Source organism: Homo sapiens, chromosome 10 (assembly GCF_000001405.40).
Source record: "Homo sapiens chromosome 10, GRCh38.p14 Primary Assembly".
Taxonomy (NCBI): Eukaryota; Metazoa; Chordata; class Mammalia; order Primates; family Hominidae; genus Homo; species Homo sapiens.
Genome location: NC_000010.11, coordinates 125,521,583 through 125,535,085, shown reverse-complemented (window position 1 = coordinate 125,535,085; position 13,503 = coordinate 125,521,583). Strand labels below are relative to the sequence as shown.

The following is a 13,503-nucleotide window of genomic DNA, read 5'->3' as shown; positions in this document are numbered from 1 at the left end:
TTTCTCTCCAAGCTGCAATAGACTTGTGGGGATAGAGACCATATGGTCCCCAAAGCCTCAAATATGTACTACAGAAATACGTGTTGCAGAAGAGCTTGCCAACCACTGAGTGAGAATATGCAAGGACTCTGGGCAGCTTGATTCCAGTGCTGTCTCTACACGGATGCCTGTGTGCCCTGGGCAGCCTCCTGGTCTGTAAGATGCAAGAGCAGGAGTCCTCCCAACAGCATGTAGGCAGTGCTCACTGTGTCCTCACTCAGCTGGGCACTCTGTCTGATATGGACTGGCTGTATCTCCAACCAAATCTCATCTTGAATTGTAGCTCCCATAATTCCCACATGTTGTGGGAGGGATCCAGTGGGAGTTAATTGAATCATGGGGGTGGTTTCCCCCATACTGTTCTCGTGGTAGTGAATAATTCTCACAAGATCTGACGGTTTTATAAGGGGAAACCCCTTTCGCTTGGTCTCTCATTCTCTCTTGCCTGCTGCCATGTGAGACGTGCCTTTTGTCTTCTGACGTGATTGTGAGGCCTCATGGAACTGTGAGTCCATTAAACCTCTTTTTCTTTATAAATTACCCAGTCTCGGATATGTCTTTATCAGCAGCGTGAAAAGGGGCTAAATACACTGTCTTCATCTCTTGGCATGCTCGCAGCCAGGGTGCCCAGCCATCCTCATCACCAGCTTACAGACTGAGGCCACAGAGCCCTGGCAGAGTCTAAGCCACCTGCCCAGTGCCCTGCAGGAGAAGCCGAGTTTCTGAGCCGGTGCTCTTCATGGCTCTCCTGTGACATCCACCCTCAAGCTCGGGGCCCTACATGCCGCTTCTCTGGAGGTGCTCAGGGGTGCCCACAGCAGGAGAGGAGGAAGCTGGGGGCAAGACCTGGGCATCCCTCTTTGCTCCCACCAGGGTCGCTCCACTTTGATCCGTTTATAGCCTGGATTTAAGCATAAACATCACGTGAAAGAAGGGTCTGCAGGCCAGCTGGGCTCTCAGGCTGTTTCCAGGAAAAGAAATCTGTCTATTTTCAGGGCCCCCAGCCAGATGCCTTGAGCCGTGTGTGCTTCCTCTCCCTCATCCCCACACCCAGTCACCCACCAGCTGTTGACTTTACTTGCAAAATATCTCTTTATTTAAGCTGCATCACCTCTTTCCCGGACTATGGGCCCATCACCGCTCTGAAGGCTCAACCTGCCAGGACCACATGACTCCCGACTGCTCTGCAGCTACACGGGCACACGTCCACCCCAGGCAGCAAACCTGCATTTTGGTCACTTGGGACGAGGCATGCAGGTGGCTCAGGCTAAATTATGGACCCTGCCAGGCAAACGGCTCAAACCACGTGGGCAGGAGAAGCTGCTCTAAGTTGGTAGCATTACCCAAGGGCTTGAGGACACGTCCACAAAGTGGGTAAACAATCACATTGTGATATCAAAGTGAAGCCCACCTTCTATTACAGGGGCCAAGTCTAGCAGCAGTGACTTTGCTTTCAAATCTTTTAATTAAATTTGTTTTTAGGTAGTAAAGTTCCATGTGCACTTGTTAGATGCTCCCATGTCAATAAGACCCCAAGAAACACCTAATGTAATTCTAGCCCTCAGACTTCTCTCTTCTGTTTACAGCACGGGACGGTGGCACTGAGTGACGTGACACAGACTGACAACTACGGAGCCACGTAACAAGCATCACTTGTGCACACAGCTCCTGAGGGCCAGGAGGAAACTTTGTCTCCTTGAACATCTAGACTGTAACATCTGCTTGACCAAAATGTCTGATTGGATGATTCCTACGGAACAAAGTCTAGTATAACAAACTCATGCTCCACTGCCCAACACTTAATATTATACTAATAATGCTCAGTGTCTGTGTGGTTCATCTGTGTTTTCAAAATACATCAAAATGTTTAATTAGGCAGTAAATATCTATTCCTTTCCTTCAAAAAAGAGCTTAAAACAAAGGTCATCAAAACATGATTCTAATTTGATCACTTGCCTTCTGAAGTCACATCTCAGACTCAAGCAAAGTGTGGAGTTGTGGCAATTATCTGAATTATTCAGGAAGCAGAATTCTGGCCTAAATCATCACATTCCCAGAGAACAAAGAATATCTGTCAGTTCAGCTGAAAAGCAGAAAAATTGAACACTTTGCTCTTTTTCTACATGAAATAGCATATATGCCACCTTATTTTCTCTGAGCTAATTGGCTAATGAATTCTGTTTGACCCTGAAAAAGCTTAAGAAGATGAAGCCAGAAAGTTAAAGATTCTTTTGCTTTGCAAAAGTTGGAGAGATCTATATTTACCAAAGATCATTTTGCTTTAAGTTCCTGGTGTCAAATTGGAACTTTCTGAAGAATAGAACTTTTTCTTATTTCTCCAGTAATATTTCAGTTAGCCCCACTCTCGGTTCTTACCTTTTCACCTGAAAAGATTCCATATCATGGAATCATTAGTAAAATCAACCGTTGAGAGCTTTTTTTTTATATATCAAAGTTTTCTGGCCAGGCACGGTGACTCACACCTGTAATCCCAACACTGGGAGGCCGAGGTAGGTGGATTGCTCAAGCTCAGTAGTTCGAGACCAGCCTGGGCAACATGGCGAAACCCCATCTCTACCAAATACACAAAAATTAGCCAGGTGTTATGGCACGCGCCTGTGGTCCCAGCCCAGCTACTCAGAAGGCTGAGGTGGGAGGATCACTGGAGCCTGGGAGGTCAAGGCTGCAGTGAGCTATGATCGCATCACAGCACTCCAGCCTGGGTGACAGAGCCAGACCTTGTCTCAAAAAAATTTTTTTAAAGTTTCCTATTCTTTCCAAGTGATGCAGAGTCTGAGAAGTCACTCATAGGTCTAACATTCAAGTTTATAAATTATGCTGTTTCACTTTTGACACCATAATTTAGGATGAAAACCAGGTTTGCGTAAAAAGCCCCTGACTCTCCAAATGGGGAGTTTCACCAGAAACATCAGCGATCCCATTCTGTTCATTACAACAAAAAGTTTCTCCCGGAGGCAAGTTTGGCTTTGAATAAAATCAGATAAACCCAGGTTGGAGGAGGGGATGGTGGTACGGGGGTGGATCCCGTATTGTTTCTTTCTTTTTTGGTAAAACAACAGATCACCAATTAATTAGGATCTGAAAGAACAGAAGTACTCCGCATTTCTAATTTTGAAATCCTTAATGTATAAGTCCTTCTAGGCTCAGAGTTTATATGGCAACACGATATGTTCAGAAGAAAGTCTGGAAGGAGTTTGGATCTCTGTTCTCCAGTTCCTCGGAAGAAAGGATTAGGACAGCGCGGTTGTGTGAGTTCTGGAGCCACCGGGGCTCGGTCAGCACCTCCCCCAGATGACGAGCCATCAGCTGATTCATCTTGATTTCGAAGCTGCTGACACCTGCTCTAAGCACCCTGTCCTGTTTCCATGGTAACTAAGGGAAAGCATCCTTGTCCACATACTTTCGGAACCTCATTAAATCAGGCGGCAGGGCAGCAGCTGTGTTCTCCATGCGTTTCTCTGACAGCCATGAACTAATTTTACGATGCTCAGGTGATTTTGGGTGCTTTCTAGGCCAGACTGTTGAGAATGTGTAGATAGTGGGACAGATGGCAGAATAAATAAATATTGCCAAAGTGTTTAATGCACACACATTTTCTGAAAGGTGCGAACCAACGATAGTAATTTTATTGACTGAGGTAATTTGAAGCCAAATAATGGTTATGAGGAGGATGGAAGCTTTTGGAAAATGTGAACTTGAGGCACTCTTCTGATGCTAAAAATCTCTAAGGAAAATAGTACATCACCAGTGTCACCAGTGTGGTTCTAAGGCAGCTGGTGGCCCAGAATGTGAGGACGTGAAATACAAAACTTTCTCATTTCCACCATCATATTATTTGCTGGATTCAGGAAAATCTGAAGGAAGGTCTTTTTATGCAACACACACACACACACACACACACACGCATGCACACGCGCGCAAGCGCACGCACACACACTCAGCCCAGGAAGTAGACATTTGATTAAACCAAAAAGTCAGTCCAAAGCCCAATTTATACCAAGGGAACATGCAGATTTCACAAACACTGACTCAGAAACCAGATTTTCTCCACTGCTTTTTTTTCCCCAAAGGGGGTTGAAGATATGTATTCAACTGAAAGAAATCTGGGCTGGCCTGACTGATCCAGAACAAACATTGCCTGCTGATTTCCAAAGAGAACCCCAAACCTCTCCATGCTGAGAATGGTGGAGGAAACGTTGGATTTGTTGGTTTTAATGGAGATGACCGACAGCCAGGAGAGAGTCCCAAGCTTCTGCTGTTCTCAGGTGGGATAGAGGGTCGGCATCTTCCCTAGATCTAGGGCTGGACTTCCTCGGCTCCAAACTCTGCCCTGCTGCTGACAGGGCCATGGCCTTGGGCAACTTATCTAACCTATTGGTGCTGTAACTGCTTCACCTGTAAACTGGAAATCATCACAGTTCCTACCTCATAGGGTCATTCTGAGATCGTAACGAGTTCCTATTTGACAAGTGCTTACAACAGTGCCTGGTGCTTATTAAGTGCTTCCTGGGGGTTCACAGATTGGAGTTTTCTTTCTATATTCGTTGTACTGAATGAGCATTGTCTATTTCATAGGCCAATTCCAATTTTTCCATGTAGCAGTTACAAATGAGATGACTTTGGAGAAAGTTAGACCTGCGTCCGAATCCTGGACTGCCACAGATGCACTGGGTGTGTCACCTTGTGCAGTGACGTAACCTCCCTGAGCCTTGGTTTGCTCATCTGTAACAGCAGAACCCACCACCCAGGGTTGGGGGCTGGCGGGTAATGAGGATAAAGTGCGGTGAGGTGAGTGCAGCACATAACTGGTGCCTGGCACACAGGAAGTGCTCCATCCATAAAAGTGATAATGATCACACCATTCGCAGTATTAAGAAGTTATTGCTCATCAAAATAGGTTAATATACTAGGAAAGCTAGGCTTTGTCTTATTTGACAGATAACATAAAAATAATAGAAAGTAATGAAGTGGCCAGAAAGATTCTGCATTGCACATGTGAAATGTGGAGGTAGGAAAGAGATTACTCCTTGATAAATGAGCTCTTGACCTTGTTTGGTGTGGATTCAGCCCTTACAGGAGATTCTGAACTTTTAGCCTTCAAAAATTGCATAACAAAATGTTCTCTGTGTTGAAGAGGTCAAGAATCGTGTAAATTTTTGTGCAATTAGTTAGAACCAGGATACCATTAATAAATATGTCAAGAGTTGGAGCTGTCATTACATATACCAATTCTCTGCCCCTGTTATGAGAAAAGATGTGCCTGGATGATTGTCCAATAAGCGAAATATCATTGTTACTCTGGAATTGGGTAATAGTCATATGTAACCAATTAAAATCCCATTATGAAGAATAGAAAACCCCTACTTTGAGGGTGAGGGGGATCAAGGTTCAAGAATAGAGAAGCAGGATGTACAGGAGGAGAATGTGAGTGGCCACAGTGACCTAGAGTGCTGACTGTCCCTCTGGGGCTTGTTGTCCTTCCTGGAGCAATGGGATCTCGCTGCTTCCCCAGCTCCTCTATGCTGAGCAGGGTTGATTCAGGAGGATCTAAAGAGAATGACATAACTTACGTTATTTTAGGGTATGAACAAACAGTTGTTGACATGTGTCATGCATAAAGTCCTGTGCTAATGGCCAGAGGGACTCGGAGGTCCGTCAGACACAATCCTCGTCCTTGGAGAAGCCTATGGTCAAATGGGAAGGAGTCATGCCTAGAGAGTGAGAGGGTGGACTAGGAAGGGAATAGGATGGAGGGGGTAACATATGTCTTGCAGCAGCCTGTGCTGCTAAGAACTTGGTGCTGGGCTGTAGGAGAGGCCCCTCACACTGCAATCCACAGCAGGGGCCCTTCCGCAGGACCAGGCAGGAAAGAACATTAGCTAGAGGCCCCAGCACCCCCGCTTTCTCCTGCCATTCCTACCTCTTCAACAAACTCCAACCCCCATGGTCCCTTTGGGTGGAAATGTGAGGTTTCTATTATTTTGGCATTACAATTCTCACACCTGCACTTGAGGTCAGGAGGTCAAGACCAGCCAGGCCAACATGGTGAAATCCCATCTCTACTAAAAAATACAAAAATTTGCCAGGCATGGTGGCACACACCTGTGATCCCAGCTACTTGGGAGGCTGAGGCACGAGAATGGCTTGAACCCAGGAGGCGGAAATTGTAGAGAGCCAAGATCGCACCACTGCACTCCAGCCTGGGTGACAGAGTGAGACTCCATCCCCCTAAAATACAAACAAAACCAATTCTCCCCAAAATATGAAAGCAATGTATGCTGAAAAAAATGTATAAAGAAGAAAATTAAAGAAAAAAACCATCCAAAATAATTTTGATACCTTGGTGAATTTATTTCTAATTATTTTTCTCTGTTGTTTGTTTGGTTTTAATGTGGGTGTGATTACATAGAATATTTTTATCTAAGTTTTTCACTTAACATTAAAATAGGTGCATTTTCATGCCGTTATGAAATATTTGTACACATCAGCTTATGACTGCATAATGGTCCATTCTGTTATAATTTAACTAAACATTCCCTTTTTGTTAAGGTCATTTCCTACTCTTTGCTATTGTAAATAATTTGCAAGAAACAATTTTGCATTTAAAAAGTATTTCTGGCCGGGCGTGGTGGCTCACACCTGTAATCCCAGCACTTTGAGAGGCCGAGGCTAGTGGATCACCTGAGGTCAGGAGTTCAAGACCAGCCTGGCCAACATGGTAAAACCCCATCTCTACCAAAAATATAAAAATTGTCTGGATGTGGTGGCACACGCCTGCAATCCCAGCTACTCGGGAGGCTGAGGCAGGAGAATTGCTTGAACCTGGGAGGTGGAGGTTGCAGTGAGCCGAGATTGCACCATTGCACTCCAGCTTGGGTGACAGAGCAAGACTCCATCTCAAAAAAATAAAATAAAATAAAATAAGGAGCATTTCCAAAACTGATATCTTTTTAAAGATATCCCATAGGATGTTTTAATAGATAAACTACAAAAAATAAAAAAGAAGTGTTCTATGCTCCAATTAGTTTGGGAAAAGCTAAGTTAAACAAAGCTGGGTTGAAAAAGTAGGCCTCTTCCCTGCAGAAATTTTCAGAGCCTTTGTACATGCTGTATTGTGAAGCTCTAACAGAGGAATACGTTTCCCAGACCTGTTGGCACAAAATCCTTTCCTTTCAAGGAGAACTTATTAGCAGGACTGACACTTTTCAAAAGAATGAAGATGTATTTATTTTTTCCAAAAAACACAATCAAAATTTCTTTCAGACACATTTTATTTTATGTTATTTTTTTTTTGGCAGTGGCAACAGTGGCATGATCATAGCTCACTGCAGCCTCAACCTCCCAGGCTCAAGTGATCCTCCCACTTCAGCCTCTCAAGTAGCTGGAACTACAGGCATATTCCACCATGTCTGGCTAATTTATGTATATTTTTTGTAGAGATGGGGTCTCTCTATGTTGTGCAGGCTGGTTCAAACTCCTGGGCTCAAGTGACCCTCCTGCCTCAGACTCCCAAAGTGCTCAGATTACAAGCATGAGCCACCACGCCTGGCCCAGACACATTTTAAATGACTAACATATCCCTAATATTGAAATCAGACAAATGCAGCTTAAGATAGGAAAGCTGTAGGTCACTGTCACTCATGAACAAAAATGCAAACATCCAAAATAAAATATTAGCAATTCAGTTACAACAGGATATAAGATAGGTTAAGAATGCAAAGATCATTTACGCTTAGGAACCTCATTAATGCAAATTATTAAATCAAAAGATTAAGGAAGAAAATCTTAAGTGATCATCTCGAGGGACATCAAGACTTTCTACGAAATTTCCAGCCGGGCGCAGTGGCTCACGCCTGGAATCCCAGCACTTTGGGAGGCCGAGGCGGGCAGATCACCTGAGGTCAGGAGTTTGAGACCAGCCTGGCCAACATGGTGAAACCCTGTCTCTACTAAAAATACAAAACTTAGCTGGGTGTGGTGGCGGGCGTCTGTAATTCCAGCTACTTGGGAGGCTGAGGCAGGAGAATCGCTTGAGCCCAGGAGGTGTAGGCCACAGTGAGCCAAGATCACGCCATTGCACTCCAGCCTGGGTGACAGAGCAAGACTCTGTCTCAAAAAAAAAAAAAAAAAAGACATTTTATGAAATTTCAGGGTTATTCTGGCTTTTCAAAAAAGGAACAACTTTTAGAAAATAGCCACAAAACAAAAATTTTGTTAAAATAATATAGAGTATATCTTGGAATACAACAAATTAATATACAATAGTATTGCACTAAAGATATTTGGACTGAAGTTAGGAATGAGACAAGAATGCCTCCTCTAAATACTATTATTGCATACCATGCTGGAGGTGTAGCTAGTACAATAGGACAAGAAAAAAGTTAAAGATAGAAATGTTGGAAATCATCATTAATAACAGATTATATGACTATCTATCCAGAAAACCTAAAAGAATCAACTGAATATTATAATCAATTTTAAAATTTAGTATGCTGACTATTTTCTAAATAGATACAAGATAAATACACAAAATTCAATTGCTTTCCTTTATAAAATTAATAACCAGCTAGAAAATATAAAGGAAACAGAGATGCCATTCAAAAGAGCAATTAAAAGTACAAAATTTAGGGAATTAATTTGATAAATGCATAACTTTGGTATGAAAAGTACTGACAAAGCTTTACGGAAGGCTATTATATTATATCTGAATAGATAGAGACAGATAATGTTTCAGATCAGGAAAGTCAATGTTGTAAAAATGCAACTACTCCTCAAAGCCTATTTAATGAAATTTTCACCACAATCCCAATTTCCTTTTTAGTTTTTGTGTTTGTTGATTTTTTCCCTTAATAAATCAACCCCAAATTTTAACAAAATAAAATTTCAAGAATAACCAAGAACATTTTTAAAATGATTTCACCTTACTGAGATAAAGTAAAAGAGGGGAAAGAGTGTATCCTGGTTAGGGACATAGTCTTGGTACCTTGATTTCAAACAATAATTCAGAAATATTAATATGTTTCTGATTAACAGTTCTGGGGAAAGGGCAATGACTATTAATTGAATAGAAATGTTTGGTAGAAGTTCCTCATTATCTAGGGGAAAATGAAGCAATAGCAACTTCATTAAATAAAAAAATTAGAAAAAGGAAAAAGAGGAAACAAAAATGAAAAATAAACATGGATACAGAAGAATCAGAATCAAGAATATCAGTTTTTACACTAAATATAAAATGTTGAATGACGGATTAAAAGACAGAGAATCAGATTAAGTTAAAATGCAAAACCCAGGCCGGGCGCGGTGGCTCACGCCTGTAATCCCAGCACTTTGGGTGGCTGAGGCGGGTGGATCACAAGGTCAGGAGATCGAGACCATCCTGGCTAACAAGATGAAACCCCATTTCTACTAAAAAAAAATAGAAAATATTGGCCGGGCATGGTGGTGGGCATCTGTGGTCCCAGCTGCTCCGGAGGCTGAGGCAGGAAATGGCGTGAACCTGGGAGGTGGAGCTTGCAGTGAGACGAGATCCTGCCACTGCACTTCAGCCTGGATGACAGAGCGAAAAAAAAAAAAAAATCAAAACCCAGCTCTATGCCGTTTATGAGAAATAAAAGACAACTTTTATGAAAAGGTTGAAAATATGAGTAATCAAAGAGCTAACAGATAAAAGCATATAAAAAGAAAGTTGGCATGGCAATATTAATGTCACAAAATGAAATTTTAGGTTTATAGAGCTAAATGGAATAATGAGGTACATCGTGTAATGATAAATGCAAAATTTATGTAGAAGAGGTAATAGTCATAAATCTGTGTGTACAACAATGTAACAATTAAATACCTTAAGCTGAAACTGTTAAAATGCAAGTAAAATTTAATTTAAAAAATATCAACATGAAAGGAGATAGATCTACTAGGTATAAGGTAAGGATGTAAAGGGATTCACTAATACCATCAATAAACTTGACTTCACCGACATACATTGAGCTTTACATATCTCAAATAGAGAGTACACATTTCCCCCCTGTGTACATGAATCATGGACAAAAATAACTCAAGTCCCACTTGGTCACACTAAAACATCTTAATGAAATAAAAAAGCTTATACTTAAAGGCCACATTATTATGTCAACAAATTTTAAATTATAATTAAATAATTCAACCAAAAATCTTAATTAAGAACCACAATTCCACCTAATCATTGGGTCAAACAGAAAATTATAAGGGGAATAGCAAACTACTTAGACAATAATGAAGAGAACACTTCAGTCTATAAACCTATGACACAGAATAGAAAGCTCAGAAATAAACCCATGCATATACAGTCACCGGATCTTCGACAAGGGTGCCAAGAACACACCATGGGGAGAGGACTGGTTCTTCAATAAACAGTTCTGGGAAAACTGAGTATCCACATGCAAAATAGTGAAATTCGACCCTTGCATTGCACCATACCCAAAAATCAACTCAAAAGGAATTAAAGATTTAAAGGTAAAACCTGAAACCTTAAAACTCCTAGAAGAAAATATAGGGTAAAGCTCCTTGACATGGATCTTGGCAATGATTTTTGGGCTATGACACCAAAAGCACAGGCAACAAAAGCAAGAATAAACAAGTGGACCTACACCTAACTAAAAAGTTTTGGCACAGCATAGTAGCAATCAGCAAAACGAAAAGGCAACCTATAGATTTGGAGAAAATATTTGCAAACCATCTGTCTGATAAGGGATTAATATTCTAAATACATAAGGAACTCATACAATTCAATAACAATAATAAGAAGAACCCAATTTAAAAATGAGCAAAGATGTAAGTAGACATTTCTCCAAAGAAAACATGCAAATGGCCCCTTCTAATAGACACAAAACACACACAGGAAGAACACCATGAAGACAGAGCAGGGTGATGCTTTTACCAGCCAAGTATCACCTTGCTCTCTGCCGGGATGATGGATGGCCAGCAAACCACCACAACCTAGGAGAGAGGCGTGGGACAGAAGTTTCCCCAGAGCCCTCAGAAGAAGCCAACTCTGATGATACCTGGACCTTGGACTTCCAGCCCCAGAAATGTAAGATGATAAATTTCTGTTGTTTAAGCCACTTGGTTTGTGATATTTTGTTATAGCAACCCTAGCAAACTAATACAACAGGAAAATGAAATAATAGATATAAACATTGGAAAAGAAGAGATAGAATTACCTATTTTAAAAAATGATACAATTGGATACTGAGAAGCCCCAAGGGATTTGGGTTTTTTGTTACTAGAATTGATGCTTTAACACCTAACGTGGCTTAATACAAGGCTCACAGCTGGGTTCATCTTATGGGAAGCATTGTCAGGAGTGTGACGGGCAGGAGGAGGATGACAGTGGGGTGTCTTCCTTTCTGCTGGACCGAGAATTGGCAAAGGCTGGCTCCTCTACCAAAGGCTAAGCTCCTCGCCAGATGTCCTCTACTACATTGATAGCCTCAGTGACAGCGTTTTTTCCAGGTCCTACCTTGGAAAACCTTGCCCCACTGCGTTGGCGTCCGGGGGTGCTTCTCTTCTCCTTGTTGACTTCCCTTATTCATGCCCACATCTTAATCAATACTTGATATTTAAACTCTCCTCAGTACCCGACTCGAGTGCACCATGTGTTTCCTGCCAGGACACTAACACAGCACCTGGAAGAAGAAACTGGAAAATTATTGATTTGCAATAGTAACAGAAGCCACAGATACTTAAAAATGAATTCAACAAAAAAGTGCAGTATCTAAAAGAAGAAAACCAAAGACTTACTGAATGATCTAAAAGGAGGTCTGAACAAATATTCTTCTTGGATTAGAAGACAATATCATAAAATGTCAATTCTCCCAAATTAATATAGAAAAGGAATCTAATTTTGATTAAAATCTCAATTAGCTTTTTTTTAGTTGAATAGAATGACATTAAAGCTTATATGGAAGAATAAATGCCCCCAGAACAGCTGAGAAAGTTATGGAAAAGAACAGTGAGTACACTTGCCTTACAAAAGAACAGATCGTGCATAAAGCCCTGCCATCAAGTCACTGTGGTATCAGCTAGGAATAGACAAACAGATCAGTGGAACCGAAGAGAGAACTCAAAAATAGATCTTGACAAATACAAAAATATAATATATGACAAAGATTCATCTCAGTGGAAAAAACATGGATTATTTAATAAACAGTGGCAGTGCAATGGCTGCCTGAAAGAAAAGAGAATTGGATCTCTATCTCACATTGCTTAAAAAATATGATCTAGATAGACTAAAGACGTGAAAGCAAAAAAACCAAAACTCGAAACATTTCCATAAAACCCATGGGTCTACACATACCATCTAGGGGCTCAAGAGGCCTTCACCACTAGAAACCTAGAAGTTATAAATTTAAAAATAATAGAGAGATACATGGCTAGATACAGTTTTCAAACTTTTAGAAGACAAATTGGGCTCTGTATAGAGTCAACAGACAAATCGTAATTTTGGAAACAATTATTTGTCATGCAGCCAACATAGAGTTCGGTGCCAGTTTTGCACTGGAGACGCGGAAGGGAAACTGGAGCAGAAAGGGATTCTTCTTCCTGGCCCGAGGAGGAAGCGGTCTTCTCAGCTGGAACACGTGGAGCCTGCGAGACACCCGCCCCCGACCCCCAAGCAGTGCGCCCCCAGTGGGCAGTCATGGTACTGCCTCTGACTCCAGTTCCCTGGAGGGGAACAAGAAGTTTCCCTCCAGTTCCGTCTTCTCAGCTGGTGTGCCTGGGGCCTGTGGGACCCCTGGCAGTGTGCCACCCACTGGGCAGCAGTGGTACTGCCTCTGCCTCTGCACTGCCGGAAGTTTCCCTCCCGCCGCACTAGCCCTCTTCCTGTTCCTCCTGCACCCCACACCTGTACCAGCCTCATAGCCTCCTCCCCGTGACACCTTCCCACACTTGCTCCAGGTCTCTGCTCAAATGTCACCTCTGAGACATCTTTCCTGAGCACCCTACCTTAAATAGCACTGCTTGCTCCATACCTCTCATTCCCTATTCCCTTTTCTTCATGTCCCCTCTGACTTACCAAATATTTATGTGTTTGTTTATCTTCTGACTCCCTCCTGGGATGTGAGCTCCGCCAGTGTGGAGACTTGACCAGCTTGGCTCACTGTCACATCCTCAGTGCCAGCAACAGTGCCTGGTAGGCAGAAGATTTTCAGTAAGCTTCTCTTACTGAACAAATGAATCACTTTACAGGCAGCTTACTAGAAACAAGTTTAAAAAACTCCATATTCATACCTGGCATTTTTAGGGAGGAGCATAAAAGAATATATATACATTGTAAATTGTTACAGTCCTTTAAAAATTCTACCTGGAAACATTGATCAAAATTGAACATGCATGTATCACCCAATTCTGTGAATCTAACCTACCAAAATAAAAGCAGGACATAAAGACATATATAAAAGGGTGTTT

At 41.9% G+C, this 13,503-nt stretch overlaps 1 long non-coding RNA gene across 1 annotated transcript; it reads right to left on the bottom strand.

Moving 5' to 3' along the window:
• Window positions 1-4,034: 4,034 nt before the first annotated feature.
• On the bottom strand, window positions 4,035-13,219 carry LOC105378544 (uncharacterized). The gene is made up of 3 exons (XR_946438.2): window positions 13,112-13,219; window positions 11,555-11,720; window positions 4,035-5,607 (listed from the first exon to the last, which is right to left on the bottom strand). It is a non-coding gene; the product is annotated as an uncharacterized LOC105378544 (long non-coding RNA).
• Window positions 13,220-13,503: the final 284 nt, after the last annotated feature.